This window comes from Homo sapiens, chromosome 2, assembly GCF_000001405.40.
Source record: "Homo sapiens chromosome 2, GRCh38.p14 Primary Assembly".
Classification (NCBI taxonomy): Eukaryota; Metazoa; Chordata; class Mammalia; order Primates; family Hominidae; genus Homo; species Homo sapiens.
Genome location: NC_000002.12, coordinates 23,757,367 through 23,773,997, shown reverse-complemented (window position 1 = coordinate 23,773,997; position 16,631 = coordinate 23,757,367). Strand labels below are relative to the sequence as shown.

Below are 16,631 nucleotides of genomic sequence, written 5' to 3'. Positions count from 1 at the left end.
AACATCAACACAGTGAAATTGCTGTTACATTCATTAAAGTACTGCTTCTATTAATTTTATAGATACTCATCTATATGTCCTAAGTAGCCAGTACTTTTTGCTGAAGACAAATGTAAGTGGTAATATCTTTATTTTATAGATGAGGAGATGGGGGCTCAGAGAGGTTATATAATTACCTGTGTGCAAACCCACAGATGTTATATGGCACAACTGAATGGATTGAGAGCTGTCTTGACTTCAAAGCCAATATATGGGGTTTTTTTGCTGTGCTTATGTAACTTGGAAATTACATGGATTTGGACAGTCTTAAAATCTTAAAGTATGAGACAGAGTGAAAACTCATAAATATATAGTTTCTATTCCCACACAATTTTAAACCTAGAGTTTTAAGTGATGAGTGAGTCTCTGAATCCACAAACAAAATTATATTCATGTGCAGTTTTCAACTTTTATTCTATTCTTTTTTTCCCTCCCGCAAGAGGGGGTCTCACTCTGTTGCCTAGTCTGGAATGCAGTGGTGCGATCATGGCTTACTGTAGCCATCATAGCTGACTTGAGACATCGACCTCCCTGGCTCAAGTAATCTTCCCACTTCAGTCTCCTGAATAGCCGGGACCACATGAGCCACCAAGCCTGTCTAACTTTTTAATTTTTTGCAGAGATGGGGTCTCCCTATGTTGCTCAGGCTTGTCTGAAACTCCTGGCCTCAAGCAATCCTCCTGCCTCAGTCTCCCAAAGTGTTGAGATTACAGATGTGAGCCAACATGCCCAACCATGTTCTGTTCTTATATGAATCCAGGTCAAAAAGATTAAGAACCTAGGATTATCATAGACATCCCTTCTACTTTGAATATTCTTCTAAGTTTGTGATTATATGCTATGTATAATCTTAGACAATCTTCTAAACAATGATTGAAAAGAATTATAATGATAGGCACATGAAAAAGCAATGCCTTGGCCCGGCACAGTGGCCCACACCTGTAATCCCAGCACTTTGGGAGACCGAGGTAGGCAGATCGCTTGAGCCCAGGAATGTGAGGCCAGTGTGAAACCTGGGCATGGCAAGACACCATCTCTACAAAAAGTACAAAAATTAGCCAGGCGTGGTGGCGCATGCTTGTGGTCCTATTAATAGCTGCTCGGGGCACTGAGGCAGAGAGGACTGTTTGAGGCCAGGAGGTTGACGCTGCTATAAGGCATGATCATGCCACTGCACTCTAGCTTGGGTGACAGAGTGAGACCTTGTCCCCCACCCCCATCCCCCCAAAAAAGCAGTGTTCCCTCTCAAATGCAGATTTTTTTAAAAGAATATATTCCTTGTCTTCCATACTAGTGGGAAATTTTTATGGATTTTTTTTCTTCATTTATTCTTTTTTCTTGCTTAATTTAGGGTAGTGTTGGGATAGAAGATACACTTTATAAAAAGCAGAAAGACCAATCATTGAGTTATTTTAGAGACAATATGCCAGATCCATACCTTTAGATTTAATCTTACCTTTTTTTTTAGTTTCTCTTCATTCAAGCCGAGGTAGAAAGCCAGTGGTGGAAAGCTGTGGTATTGCATAGGCTACAAACATTGTATTGTCAACTTGAAAGTATAGCTACTTCTAAGGATGTTGATGTTCATTGTAGTTTTTTATTTATAGTAGCTAAAATTAGAAGCAACTTAAAGCTTCCAAAAAGAGAACAATACTTTTGAAAAATTAAGGCACATCCTACTTTGGATTGTTGCACAACTATTAAAGTTTGGTTTTCAAAGAGTGTTTAAAAGACACCAGGAGACTTCTTCTTTTCTTCTTCTGGCCAAGATGAAGTAAAAGGGACTCGATTTATTTACCCCCTCACATGACACAATGAAAAAAAAAATGAACAAAATATATTTAAAGAAAAACTGTTTGGAAGGCATTGGACACCAGGCAACACAGGACAGTGATTCCCAAAAGATAGAAACAAATAAGAGGAGTAGTGTGGTTGCCTGGAGACAATTTCCAGATACCAGCCCCAGGAGGAGCAGCCCAGGCATATTCTGGAGGTCCTCTGAACTGGGGAGCCAGACCTGGAATCTGAAGAGGCCACAGTGGTTTGGGTTTGCAGGGCAGATTACCAGAAAGAAGAAAGCTGCACAGAGAGAACACTCTGGCTATCTCCAGGAGGTCCTACCCTAGTGTTTAACTAAGTACTGGTTAGTGCATATGTGTGAGAAAACTATCTGAGGCCAGAGAAGGAGAGGGAATATTCCTTAAAGTTCACACAGGGGCCGCAATAGAGTTAGAGCTAATAAACCAACAAGGAGATAAAATGGAATCATAAAAAGGTATACAGTAATTCCAAGAGAAGTGAGAAAAAGAGGAAAAAGGGAACAAAAAACATATAGGCCAAGTAGAAAATAAATAGCAACCATATCAATAATCACATACATCACATTAAAAGTAGATGCTCTAAACCAGGGGTCAGCAGACTATCATCAAGCTGACAGCCTGTTTTTGTAAGTCAAATTTTTTTACTGGAACAAAATTATTCCCCCTATCCCCGCTTTTCAGTTCAGTGATAAATGATGTCTACAAAAAGCCTACATTTCTCATCATACTAGTGATGAAAGAGTAAGTACTTTCTCCTTAAGATCAGAAACATGACCAGGATGTCTGCTCTTACCACTTCTATCAACATTAAACTGGAGCTTTCAGCCAATGCAGTAAGGTAAGAAAAAGAAATAAAGGCATCCCTACTTCCAGAAAGAAAGAAGTAAACCTGTTGTTGTTTGTAGACGTATGATGTCTACATAGAAAATCCTATGGAATATTTAAAGAAGTTATTAGAACATGTAAGTGAAGTTAGGGTTGCAGGAGACAGGATCAGCATGTAAAACACTTGTTTTTCTATATACTAGCAACAAACAGGAAATTGAAATAACATCAAAAAATAACATGAAATATAGATAAATCTGACAAAAGGCATGTAAGACTTATACATTGAAAACTATAAAATATTAGTGAGATAAAGAAGACCCAAATAAATGGAGATATATGTCATGGCTTATGGATTGGAAGACTCAACATTATGAAAATGTAATTTCTCTCCAGATTGAACCACAGGTTCAACACCATCCTATCAGAATTCCAGCAGGCATTTGATAGAAATTGACAAGCTTATTCTAAAATTCATATGAGGATGAAAAGGACCTAGAGTCAAAACAACTTTGGAAAATAAAAACAGCTGGAAGACTTAATACTACTTTATTGTAAGACTTAAAAAGTTACAGTAATCTAGACAGTGTATGTTGGCATGAAGTTTGACAAATAGGTCAATGGAATAGGATAGAGTCCTGAAATAGATGCACACATAGAGGGTCAATTGCTTTTTGACAAAGATGTAAAGTCAGTTCAATGAAGAAAGTAGATTAAATTTCAATAGACAGTGTTGGAACAATTGGATATCAGCATGCAAAAAAAGACTTTGTATGCAGAAGTTGACTCACAATGGATCACATACCTGTATACAAGAACTTAAAACCTATAGCCAGAATATTAAGTCTCAGAATTTAATAATAACCCAATTTAAATAATGGACATAAGAGCTGAAGACACTTTACCAAATAAGATATACAGAAGACAAATACACACATGAAAAGATACTCATCCTCATTAATCTTTTTATTTATTTATTTATTTGTTTATTTATTTTTTGGAGACAGAGTTGCTCTGTCACCTAGGCTGGAGTGCAGTGGCATGATCTCAGCTCATTGCAACCTCCGCCTCCTGGGTTTAAGCAATTCTCCTGCCTCAGCCTCCCGAGTAGCTGAGATTGTAGGCACACACCACCATGCCCAGCTATTTTTTTTTTTTGTATTTTTAGTAGAGATGGGGTTTCACCATTTTGGCCAGGCTGGTCTCGAACTCCTGACCTCAGGTTACCCGCCCGCCTCGGCCTTCCAAAGTGCTGGGATTACAGATGTGAGCTACTGTGTCCGGTCAACCTCATTAATCTTTAGTGAAATGCAAATTAAGACCACAGTGAGGCCGGGTACAGTTGCTCACGCCTGTAATCCTAGCACTTTGGGAGGCCAAGGTGGGTGGATCACCTGAGGTCAGGAGTTGGAGACCAGCCTGGCCAACATGGTGAATCCCTGTCTCTACTAAATATACAAAAATCAGCTGGGTGGGGTGGCACACACCTGTAATCCCAGCTACTCAGGAGGCAGAGGATGCAGTGAGCCCAGATTATGCCACTGCACTCCAGCCTGGGCGACAGAATGAGACCCTGTCTCAAAAAAAAAAAAAAAAAAAAACCCACAGTGAGACACCATTAAACACTTGTAATAATCGTCTAAAACTGAAAAGACCATATCAAATGTAATCAAGGATGTAGAGTAACAGGAACTATGATGCACTGTGGTAGGAATGTAAAATGAAACAGCTGACTTGGAAAACAGTCTAGAAGTTTCTTAGAATGTTTAACATATGTATTATAGTCATCCCTCCATATGTGTGCTTTGAAACCTGTGGATACAAAGGGCTGACTGTACTACCTCATTTTATTTATTTATTTATAAATAAATAAAGAGACGCTGTCTTCCTCTGTCACCCAGGCTGGAGTGCAGTGGCGCTGTCTCGGCTCACTGCAACCTCTGCCTCCTGGGTTCAAGCAATTCTCTGCCTCAGCCTCCTGAGTAGCTGGGATTACAGGCGCCTGCCTCCACGCCCGGCTAATTTTTTTGTGTTTTTATTAGAGATGGGGTTTCACCATGTTGGTCAGGCTGGTCTTGAACTCCTGACCTCGTGATCCACCCACCTTGGCCTCCCAAAGTGCTGGGATTACAGGCGTGAGCCCCCGTGCTCGGCCACTACCTCATTTTATATGAGAGATATAAGCATCTGGAGATTTGATATCCAAGGGGAGATGGGGTCCTAGAACCAATCCCCTGCGGTTGCTGAAGAACCGTACCTATCATTTGACCTAGCCATTCCACCCCTTAGTATTAACCCAAGGAAAATTAACGTGTATATTTCCATACAAAGGTTTGTTCATCAATGTTTATAGTGACTTTGTTTATAATAGCCAAAACTCAGAATTATCACTAATGTCCACCAGCATGTGAATGGATAAACAAATTGTGTTATACCCATATAATGGATTAGTATTCAGCACTAACAAATAACGAAGTACAGATACATGCAAAAATAGGGACCAATAATTATTTTTATGCTTAAATAATTATGCTGAGTGAAAGAATCCTGATTAAAAATATTCTTTGTGATTCCACTCGTATATATAATTCTAGAAAATATAAACTGATCTATAGCAAGAGAAAGCAGATCCTTCATTGCTTGGGAATAGAGGGCTGTGAGGAAGGGTGAAGGGAGGAAAATCAAGGGTCACAAGAAACTTTTGGTGATGATAGATATGCTCATTGTCTTTTTTTTTTTTTGGAGACAGGATCTTGCTTTGTTGCTCAGGCTGGAGTGCAGTGGTGTGAACATGGCTCACTGCAGCCTCAACTCCCTTGGGCTCAAGCGATCCTGCTGCTTCAGCTTCTCAAGTAGTTGGGACCACAGGCATGCACCACCATGCTTGCCTAATTTTTGTACTTTTTGTACAGGGTGGAGCAGGTAATGGGAATGAGTCAGAGTGGAGACACGGTGGCTCGCCATGTTGCCCAGGCTGGTCTTAAACTCCTGGGCTCAAGCAGTCCTACTACCTTTCCCTCCCAAAGTGCTTTGACTACGGGCACGATCACTTCCCCTGGCCCATTGATTATCTTTATTGTTGTGGTAATGTTATGGATGTGTACTTACCTCAAAATGTATCAAATTGTATACTTTAAGTATGAGCAACTTATTATATGTCTATTATGCTTCAATAGATCTATTTTTAAACTTAGGGAAGTACAATATGTTAATAATGCAGATTACAGAATCATTGTGGTTTTTGTTCATAAAGAGAATTGTTGAGACACATATTCATGTGCTTACATGGTATCTCCATTGGGATATTTTTTAGGCATCTCCAAACTGAAATGCCTGAAGCTGAACTCTTTGAGATTACTCTCTAACTTCTTTTCCTCCTTTCCTCTCTATTCTGTTTTTTTTTTTGTTTGTTTTTTGTTTGTTTTTGCATCTTTATAAATAGTATGTCCGTCTCCCCATTTTTTATGCAAGAAGCTAGGAAATCATCTTTGATATTTATGTTACCCTCTTATCTACTTTATCACCAAATTGTGTCATTGAGAGCACATTTCAAATCTGTAATCTTGTCTTTCACCACCACCACCACCATTACCCCAGTTCAAGTCATCATCCTCTCTCACTAAAATAAAGCCTAGTGACTATGCTCCCTGGTGTTATTCTTGACTCCCCTCAATCCAGTGATCAGAAAACAACCACAGCAGATCTTTTCAATGATTTTCATTGCTCTTAGGATACAATCTGAAATCCTTTCAATATGATCAGTTTCTCTTTGCCTCTTGCTTATTATGTTCTGACTACTGTTATAAATAGTTTCAGTACCTCAAAAAGCACTTGAATATAAAATTTTCTTTTTAATTCTCAGCAAGGCAAGTTTTTCTATAGAAGGGTGCACCCTTACAGATGGAGTAATGGTGGGCGCCCACTTGGACAAGGGAGGGGAAGGGTTTATTATCCCTGATGCATGTGGCCCCCCACTGCTGTGTCCTTCTCCTGTTGGCTAGGGTTAGACCACACAGGCTAAACTAATTCCGATTGGCTAATTTAAAGAGAATGACGAGGTAAGTGTTTTGGCGGGAAAAATGGTTATGACAGAGCAGGTAATAGGAATGAGTTAGGGTGGAGTAGGTAATCGGAATGAGTCAGGGTGGAGCAGGTAATTGGAATGAGTCAGGGTAGAGCAGGTAATCGAAAAAGGTTGCTTTACGAGGAAGTTAAGTTTAAAAGTAGAAGGCAAAGAATTGAACATACTGACATATTGATTCTTTGAAAAGAAATTTAGAACTCATAACACTACACTGGCTGCATTTCAGTTTCTTGAAATCTCCAAACTCTTTACAGCAGGATTTTCTCACATGGTATTTTCTGAACCTGCACTAGTTGTTTTTTTTTTTTTCCCCCCTTACTCTTTCAGTAGCTACTCCAGTCTGTGCTTCAAGTGTCAGTTTAAATGCCTGTTCTTCAGAGAGTCTTCTTCCTGACTTGCTCAATCTAAATTGGAACCCACACCAGTACCCTGTAGGTTTTCTTCATAGCTGTTTTTCAGGGTGTTTTGCTTTTGGGTTTTTTCTTTTTTGGAGGGAGGAGGTGTTAATTTGGATGTATGAGAGATGATTTGTTCCTGTAGTGGTCTGAAAAAGTCCTTGAAAGTTGATATCATGTATGTTTTGTTCACTGCTGTGGGTGGCCACCATCCAGCTTTCCCTGGTGCAGTCGACAACATTTGTTGAGTGAATGTTTAGAGAAAATGTGTTGGAAGTAAATATCAGTGGTGCCTTTGAGTGGTGCATGTTTGGTTTTGTAAGATTACCACAATGAGCCATAATAACTTTCAAATCAGAAAAGTTATAAAGTGTCTCTGTAACTTTGTCTATACTGTTTGCCCTTACTAGAGAGGAAAAAGCAAATGTTGTTTTGCAACTCTGGATTCTTGCTCTTGATACTGTTAGAATATTAGTTACCTTGATATATTACTTGCCTTTTCATATTTCTGAGTTGCACAGATCTAGGGGGCACTGTTTATATTGTATTGTTTATGAATGGGAACTTCTGGATTAGTGTGAAGCAGAGGCTCCTCTTTTAGTACCATTTTTAGGCATAGTTTACCTGGAACCATGTTTATGCTTCTCTCCTGGATCTACCTACAATGTATACACCATCTTGTGCCCTTTAGCTTAGAAAGTCTTTCTGTATTTCTCTGTTTTTGTCACATTTAAAAAAAAATAAGTCACCTTTAAAATATATTGTATTCTTTAGCATAGTTTTGACCAATGTCAACTTAGGAGAAATTTAAGATTTTTTTGAATTCCTAATATTAATCTCTGACAACTCTGGGGCTGGGCATTTGGTGAATATCCTCTAAATACTTTTTAAATTTTTACTGAAAATCACATATTTCTGTTTTCAGAAATTTGAAACCATGTATCTTTTTCTTGTAATTCTCCAGACTGCTTCAGAAATGGTAATAGGTTTAGTCCTTTGAGGTTCTTAAAGTATAATTTTCAGAGAATTACTAACTTGACTGAGTAGCTTAGTATATTTATTTTTTTACCCATACTTTAAATAAACTTTTTCTCACCTAGCAATGCTTTTTATAATTTTGTTTGTATTCTTTTACTTTTTAAGATGTCCTTTGTTAATGTTATTTTATTTGTTTCTATAATAAATATATACCAACTTTTTTAACAGATAAAATAATTAGGCACAGGGCTTGTACCCTGAAGGACACTGCACATGCTATCATTGCAGCTGAATTAGATCCAGAATTTAATAAACTTTGTGAGGAAATTAAGGAAGCAAGAATAAAAAGAGGTAAGTTGTAGAAATAAACTTGGTACTGAAGCCTAGTGTGCTCTGTTCAGGCCAAGAGTACTTGAACGCTGTTTCTTTAGGATTGCTGGTATTATGAAAGTAATGTATTTAATGTATTTATTTAATTTCTGATACTAATGTGTTATGTAAATTCTCAAAGATATTTTACAACTTTACCTACTGTGAAAGTTTTAGTGTGATAGTGTGTATTACAGAAATAAAGTGTTTCTTATTGAAATTTGTTTTGTAGGAGTATATCTTTTTTAAGAATTGATTTCTAAATGGATTTAGATATTAGATATGAAAAGGTTTTATTTTTCATCAGTTTACTTTCTGGTACTTTAAAAACATGTTTAGGTATACTGTTTTTCCCACCCTAGTGAAATTTATATGCAATTTTGTTATTAGAAACACAGAATTAGCAATTGTGGTTTGTCAATTCAGTTTATAATCTTGTCCTTGAGGAACTCACATTTTAGTAGGAGAGAGAGAAATGTAAAACCAATCAAGTACAGTGTGGTGTATGCACTGGTTGAAGCATGTTCAGAGCACAGAGATGAGACCTCCCAGTAGGGAACCCAGCATTTTGATCAGAGTAAGGAGTGAATATAGAAGTGTTCTCTCTAATGGACTAGGGAGGCAGTGATAGAGGAGGAGGAGGTGTATTGCACACAGAGAAAACAATAGCATATGTAAAGGCACAGAGGTGTGTTAAACTGGTATTGCTAAAGAAATACAGAATGCTGGAAATAGGGCTCAAGAGGTGCGGGGTCTAGGACACAAAAATTATGAAGAAACTTTTCTTCTACCTTTTTAGAGAGCTCTTCCCTGACCACCTAATCTGATAGAGGCTTTGGTAGCATTTGGCATTATATTATTTGTTTTTTGATCGTGTCCTCCTTATTTAGGATATCAGCACTTTGAATGTCTTGTTTATATCTCTGCTCCAGTCCCTAGAACCCCATCTGGTATAAAACAGGTTTTCGGTAAATATTTGAGTAAATCAATGCCATGCTAAGGAGCTTGTGATTTATCTTGTAGATCAGTGTTTTCAAAAATGTCTGCCTATTACCCACTTCAGCTTAGACCTATGAATTAGATTCTCTGAGAATATTAAGGCCAAGAAATCTTTATTTGAACAAACTATCCAAGAGTTTTTATGTACACTAAAGTTTGATAGCCATAGGCAATAGAAATCATTGAAGGATTTTAAGCAGTGAAATGAATTGGTCGAATTGCCTTGGCGGGAAGAAGTAACATGGTTTCAATGTGCCAGGGTAGGAAGATGAAAGATCAGTTTAAAAGCTGTTGGAGCCCATTTGAAAATGGTTTGGCAATTTCTAAAAAATTAAACATGGATTTACTGTATGACCCAGTGATTCTACTCTTAGGAATCTACCCAAGAAAAATGAAAATATATGTCCACATAAACATTTGTATGTTCATAGGAGCATTGTTTATAATAACCACAAACTGGAAACAACCCAGATGTCTGTCAGCTGGTGAATTGGTAAAGAAAACATAGGATACCCATACAAGCGCATACTACTTAGTAATAAAAGGGAACAAAGTACTGTTACACAGTACAACATGGACGAACTTCAAAAACATGCTGGCTGAACATGGTGGCTCACGCCTGTAATCCCAGCATTTTGGGTGGCAGAGGTTGGAGGATCGCTTGAGCCCAGGAGTTTGAGACCAGCCTGGGCAACATGGCAAGATACCATCTCTACAAAAAAGTGAGAAATATTAGCTAGGCGTGGTGGTGTACACTTGTGATCCCAGCCATTTGGAAGGCCGAGTTGGGAGGATTGCTTGAGCCCAGAAGGTTGAGGCTGCAGTGAGCCATGTTCATGCCACTGCAGTCCACCCTGGGTGACAGAGCAAGATGTTGTCTCAACAAAAAAAACCCCAAAACATTATGCTAAGTAAAAATAGCCAGACCCAGAAGACTACATATTGTATGATTTCTTTTATATAAAATGTCCAGAAAAGGCAAGTCTATAGAGACAAAAAGTGGAGTAGTCATTGCCTGGGACAGTTATCCAAAATTGGATTGCTGTGGTGATTTTACAATTCTATACATCTACTAAAAACTATTTATTGTACACTTAAAACAGGTGATTTTTATGTTATATAAATTGTATCTCAGTAAAGCTGTTGGGGAACAAAAACCTGTTGGAGTAGTCCAGGGTTTTAATTAATGAAGTAGGAAGGGAGTTAGAAGAGATTAATATAAGTGAGATGTAGCCGCAGGGATGGAGAGCACTGTGAAGTGAAGGAAGAATAAAAACTGGCTGCCATATTACTGGTTGAGTGACTTAGTAGATACTAATACTCCCAATCTAGATAGGGAATCTATAAGAACAAACTGTTTTGTTTTGTAGGGAAAGATAAACCAGTTATCTTTAATTTGATCTATCTTTAGGAAATTCAGTTGGAGATATGAAGTAAGGAGTTGTATATATGGATCAGAAGTTGTATATCTGGATCAGAGATGTTTGGGCTAAAGATACAGATTTGAGAATTATTATATAATAGTAATTGAACCTGAACACAATGATACTTCGCTGGGGAATGTGTAGATTAGAGTAAGAAGAAAAGTGGTTACAGAGAGAACCTGGAGAAAAACCAACTTAAGGACCACATAGAAGAAATAAATCTCTAGTGAAGAAAATTAAGATAGAATGATTAGTCTTAGGAATATAATGCAGGACAACCAAACTGACTGCAGTGTGGTGCGACAGGAAGCAAATAGCATTTTGAAACAGTTCACGGGAATGGGGTTTAGTAGCCCAGTAGACTGTTGTACATTCTAAGATGGCAGAGGTCATTATTTTTGGATAATATATAATCTTATTGTTCCACAGTCATAATAATGTAAAATGTGCCTCTTTGTGAATTAAAATGAATAAAAATAGGGCCCCTTTGGGGATTAAGTGTAAACATGGCCTGCCAGATTGTTTTATTTTTATGATTTTATATCTAAGTTTCTTACCCATCTTAAAACAAAAGACACTGCTTTCATTGGAACTGCAAACTGCCCTAGTATAATTAATGACTTTAAAACTCAGTTTTGTATTTGAGATTTTTTTAAAAACCTTTTGGTTTATGTAGCTGGGAATATTTAAAGAGGTATTGCTTATCTTCTGCTTGCAGGCTTATCAGTAACATCAGAACAAATAAATCCTCATAGTACTGGAGCTCGGAAGACAGAAACTAGAGTCGAAGAGGCATTTCGGCACAAACAAAGAAATCCAATGGATGTGTGGCACAACTCTGCAAATAAATGTGCATGTGAGTATTTCAGCTCATGTTATCCAGTAGTGAGAACAACTGAGAATGATGTAGATATGTTAGGAATTGGGTACAAAACAAAGTGCCGCTCTTTTCCCATAGCTCTTTTAATCTCTTTTCAGAGGTGAAGAAGAGCTTGTGAGGTAAATGCTGAATCAGAAATATATTTCTTTAACTTTATTTGTTATTTTCTATCCCTATTCAATATTATTTGCTATGACAATTGAACTAGGCTTGAATATTTTCAGTTTTAAACTTTGGTTTTTGGATAGCCATGTGGAGCCAGTAGAATTTTTATATGCCCCTGTCCTTATCCTCCACTCCTTGTACACTATGCAGGATGTTCTCTTTAGGGTGGGAAATGGACACTCCCGCATGTGGGTGTGTCTGATCTGGCAACAGGAAGTTGATTTTTCTGAGAGACTATTTTGTGTTCAGTTTGAAAAATTGGCACAGCCTTCTTTTCTTTGTAGTTTTTGTGAGATGTATTTAAAGGGAAAATTGGGAGTTTTTTTGTACTCATTCATGTTGATCTATAACATTTCCAAAAGTCAAATGTTAATAAACACTGCGTCTTTCTAATAGAGTTCTTCTGTTTCACTAAAGATAGCCTTCCTTGGAAGATACATGCTGTTTTTCTGGTATAAAGGTGATAATCCAGGTTAAGTATCCCTTATCCAAAATGCTTGGGACCCAGAAGTGTTTTGGATTTTGGATTTTTTTTGGATTTTGGAATATTTGCATTGTACTTACTGGTTCTGCATCCCTAATCCAAAAATCAGATATCTGAAATGCTCCAACGAGCAGTTACTTTGAACGACATGTCAGTGCTCAAAAAGTGTTGGATTTTGGATACTCAACCTGAACTACTTTGTCAGTAAAGCTAGCTATAATATGTTGTTTCACCAGTGGCATTGAATTTGAATGAATAAACTATACCCACCTTTTTAAAGCTTGTCCCCTTTTGGTAAGTGGCATTTGTATATGAGAAAGTTTGAGAAAGGACTCGATGATGCCGTGAAACTGATTAAGCCTATTTGGCCTAGTTGTATTTCAGATCATGACTTGGATTGTGTAATGTAGTACTCTAATTTAAACTTTGAAATTCTTTACATTCTATGCATCTGCTACAAATATTTATGAATGAAAATACATTGACTATTCACTTGAAGAAGTTTTAAGTGCCTTTAAATATTTTAAAAACTTTTTGAATCTACAAATATGAGTTTTGTTTTCTCTTACCAGTAGATGGCATATGCGACCCATAATTTTTCTGTTTTACATTAACTTAAATAAGAAATCTGAATGTCCCTAAGGCGTAGTTGCTTTCCTAAGGCCTTAGTTTTGGAAACAAACTCAGTGATGCTATAAAAATTGACTCTAAAGATCGTGTCTCTAAATGGACTTTTCACACAGAGCACCCCGATGAAGGAAGTGGTGTGTGTGTGTGTGTGTGTATGTGTGTGTGTGTGTGTATATGTGTGTGTGTGTGTGTGTGTGTGTGTGTGTATATATATAAATTTATTTATTTTTTTTTTTTTTCTTGAGACAGAGTCTCTCTCTGTTGCCCAGGCTGGAGTGCAGTGGCTCAGTCTTGGCTCGCTGCAACCTCCGCCTCCTCAGGTTCAAGCAATTCTCCCACCTCAGCTTCCCAAGCTACTGGGACGACAGGCGCCTGCCAGCACACCTGGCTCATTTTTTTGTATTTTTAGTAGAGATGGGGTTTTACCATGTTGGTCAGGTAGGTCTCGAACTCCTGACTTCAAGTGATCCGTCAGCCTCGGCCTCCCAAAGTGCTGGAAGTACAGGTGTGAGCCACCATGCCTAGCTGGAAATGGTATATTAAGCATTAGGTCCACAAATACTAATATATACTCTTGCCACATGCCAGGTACTGTGAAGATACATCAGTGACTAAAACAAAAATCTCTTCTTGTGGAGCTAATGTGGTCTGTTTCTCTTATTTTGCCAAAATTATACCAACCATTAGAAATAATTATATAAGGAAGAGAAAAATACCTCCAGTCCTACTTCCCAAAGATTAAGACCATTTTCTCTTACCGTATTAGCCAGGTCTATCCTGCAGTAACTTGCTTCAGCAGGGCTCCCAGCCTTTGCTTATGTACTGCATGTCAGGTAGTTGAGGTGACTCCTGATTGAGCAGAGTTCAGCTTCATTTTGCTCTAGTTTCATGGCTTAGGAAAGAAAAAGGGAACCTATTGTACTTTCAGTTACATGGTTGCAGAATAAGAGAGGTTATGGTGTCAGGAATGGCCTGTCAGGTAGTAAAAGCCTAATAGCGCTAACTTGCAGAGTCAGAGCAAGCTGAATGCTTTTTATTTTTTATATGGACTAGATTAGTTTTTCTTATAGCTAATGGGATGTTTACAAATGCCCATCACCTGAGCCTGTGTACCAGATTTTAACAGTAGATTAATACAGAAATTTTCTTCTCTATGCTAATTACCCTGTAACTTTAAATTATATAAATAGAAATTAATAGGGGAAAAGAATGAAGAGTTAGTGCTAACAGGATTACAGTTTTGAAGGAAAAATACATGTTGAGCCAAATGACTCAATAACCTGAATTTTGGAGATGATTTCAGAAACCTTTAGGAGATATATTCTTAGGTAAGAAAGAAGAGTAATATTTATAACTAAATTTATCTATTTCTTGTGAATTTACAGAGATGCAGCAGGAATTAAAGATGAAAGGATTAAATAAGTATGTAAATACACTACACTGTTGATAGATTCTAAATTCATATTAAGCAGTGTGAATATAAGAAACAAGGGTTGTCATTAAAAGACCATATTCCTTTCTGTCTCTATAAAGCAATTTTTAAACTACAGATTAAACAGCCTACAGTTAGTGATTTCATATTTATATTTTCTTTAAAAAATATCTTTGCCCAGGAAGCTTTTCAGCTTTGATGTATTAAACATATATATTGTCTTTTTTTAAGTTAAAATTATTATGTTCATAACCACAGAAAAAATGAATATTTTTATTCTGATACTTTCAACAAACTAGTATTTAGAATTTGGGGTTAGATACCAGAAGTGATTCAGCTCTAGCATAAGTGGTTTGCTTTAATAATTTTTGTATTTAAGTGTTCTGAAGAACACTTAACTGTATTATGCAAGTGTCCCAAATTATAAAAGTTAACTTTTTGTTTATTTAAGGGACAATGAGGTAGACTTGCTTAACCATCTACCTCAATTTGATACATATGTGAGAAATTAAAAATTCCAGGGTCCATTAATACCTAGAGGCCCTAGCTGCCTACTCATAAAGCTCATGATAGTTTCTAGCATCTAAGAGTATAGTCCTTACAACTTTTGTAGGCCTCCCTTTTCACATAAGTGACCAAGTATTTATTTTCAGTGTTTTGTTTATGTTGTTGTTGTTGCCTTGATAGCAGAGGGCTTAGTTTTCCTACATATTCTCAAATAACTTTGCAAGAAATTGATGCTGCTGGGTGAACTGTTTGTGCTAGAAGAGATTAACAGTTGGCTCACCAAATTGTCCAAATAACCTTCATAAGGCATCTATCCATGGTCATACTTAACTTTGGGTGATTCCTTTTTCTGGAAGGAGAGGTTTCTTTGTGAGGATACCCTTAACTGTTCTGTTATGCTATATTGAATCATGTCTTTATTTTCTTTCATGATTTAGGAGCTACCTTTTGCTAGTAAAACATCCACCTTCCTGGTGGAAATCCAGGGCTTTGGCCCCAAACTTTCTGGCAGCCTGGTAATGTGGTCATTCTTTAAATGTGTATATTATATGCGTGGCTTTTGGATGTTGAAAATTAGGAACAGTAGTAAAGTAGGATCTAGGATAGTAGAAAAGATTAGTGCTGAATAAACTCATACAGGAAATACATTAAAAAATGTTTTATTCTGCAGAGTTCATCCCTGACTTCATATCCATTCCATTTGTAGGTTGCAAGGATTAGTCAGCATGAATGTCAAGAGCTAAGTAGTTTTTGTGTGTTACATCAGCATGGGTTTACTTTCTTTTGGGTCCTGTTTAATAAACATATGTAAAATTGGTATTGCATTCCAAGTTCTACATATCTTTTTTCCTTCCTTGTAAAACAGTTCGGGTTCGGAGAAAATCAAGGCGGAGATCACAGTGGGGTAAAGGAATTATTAAGAAAAGGAAAGTTAATAATTTAAAAAAAGATGAAGAAGACACCAAATTTGCAGACTATGAGAACCATACGGAGGACAGGAAATTATTAGAGAATGGAGAGTTTGAGGTAAGCACTGACTGCCATGAGGAAAATGGAGAAGAGACTGGAGACTTATCTATGACCAATGATGAATCATCCTGTGACATCATGGACTTGGACCAGGGGCAGAGGCTTAACAATGGAGCAGGCACAAAAGAGAACTTTGCATCTACTGAGGAGGAAAGTTCAAATGAATCTCTACTGGTCAACAGCAGCAGTTCCTTAAACCCGGAGCAGACCTCCAGGAAAGAGACTTTCCTTAAAGGAAATTGTCTAAATGGTGAGGCTTCCACTGACAGTTTTGAAGGAATACCAGTTCTGGAATGTCAGAATGGCAAGCTTGAAGTAGTTTCTTTCTGTGATAGTGGAGATAAATGTAGTTCTGAACAAAAGATTCTTCTGGAGGACCAGTCAAAAGAAAAACCAGAAACTTCGACTGAAAATCATGGAGATGATCTTGAGAAACTAGAGGCACTGGAATGTAGCAATAATGAGAAGTTAGAACCTGGCTCTGATGTGGAGGTTAAAGATGCAGAACTGGATAAAGAAGGTAGAGCTAATATTTGAAAAATCTTCTGAAGGTTTAAACTCCAGAGTTAAT

At 37.4% G+C, this 16,631-nt stretch overlaps 1 protein-coding gene across 13 annotated transcripts in view; it reads left to right on the top strand.

The window, feature by feature from the left end:
- Positions 1-16,631, top strand: part of ATAD2B (ATPase family AAA domain containing 2B) — a 249,155-nt gene that overhangs the window by 153,126 nt on the left and 79,398 nt on the right. For 11 of the 13 annotated variants that reach the window (XR_001738780.3, NR_125717.2, XM_047444799.1 and 8 more), the window contains 3 exons: positions 8,370-8,492; positions 11,652-11,789; positions 15,897-16,580. Coding sequence is in view for 11 of the 13 variants with exons in the window: in XM_047444799.1 (XP_047300755.1) it covers positions 8,370-8,492; positions 11,652-11,789; positions 15,897-16,580 (945 nt within the window). In the remaining 2 variants the exon portion in view is untranslated. Of the gene's footprint in view, positions 1-62; positions 3,660-8,369; positions 8,493-11,651; positions 11,790-15,896; positions 16,581-16,631 lie in introns of those variants that run through there. The other 2 variants (XM_011532925.4, XM_011532924.4) reach the window with 2 other exon arrangements.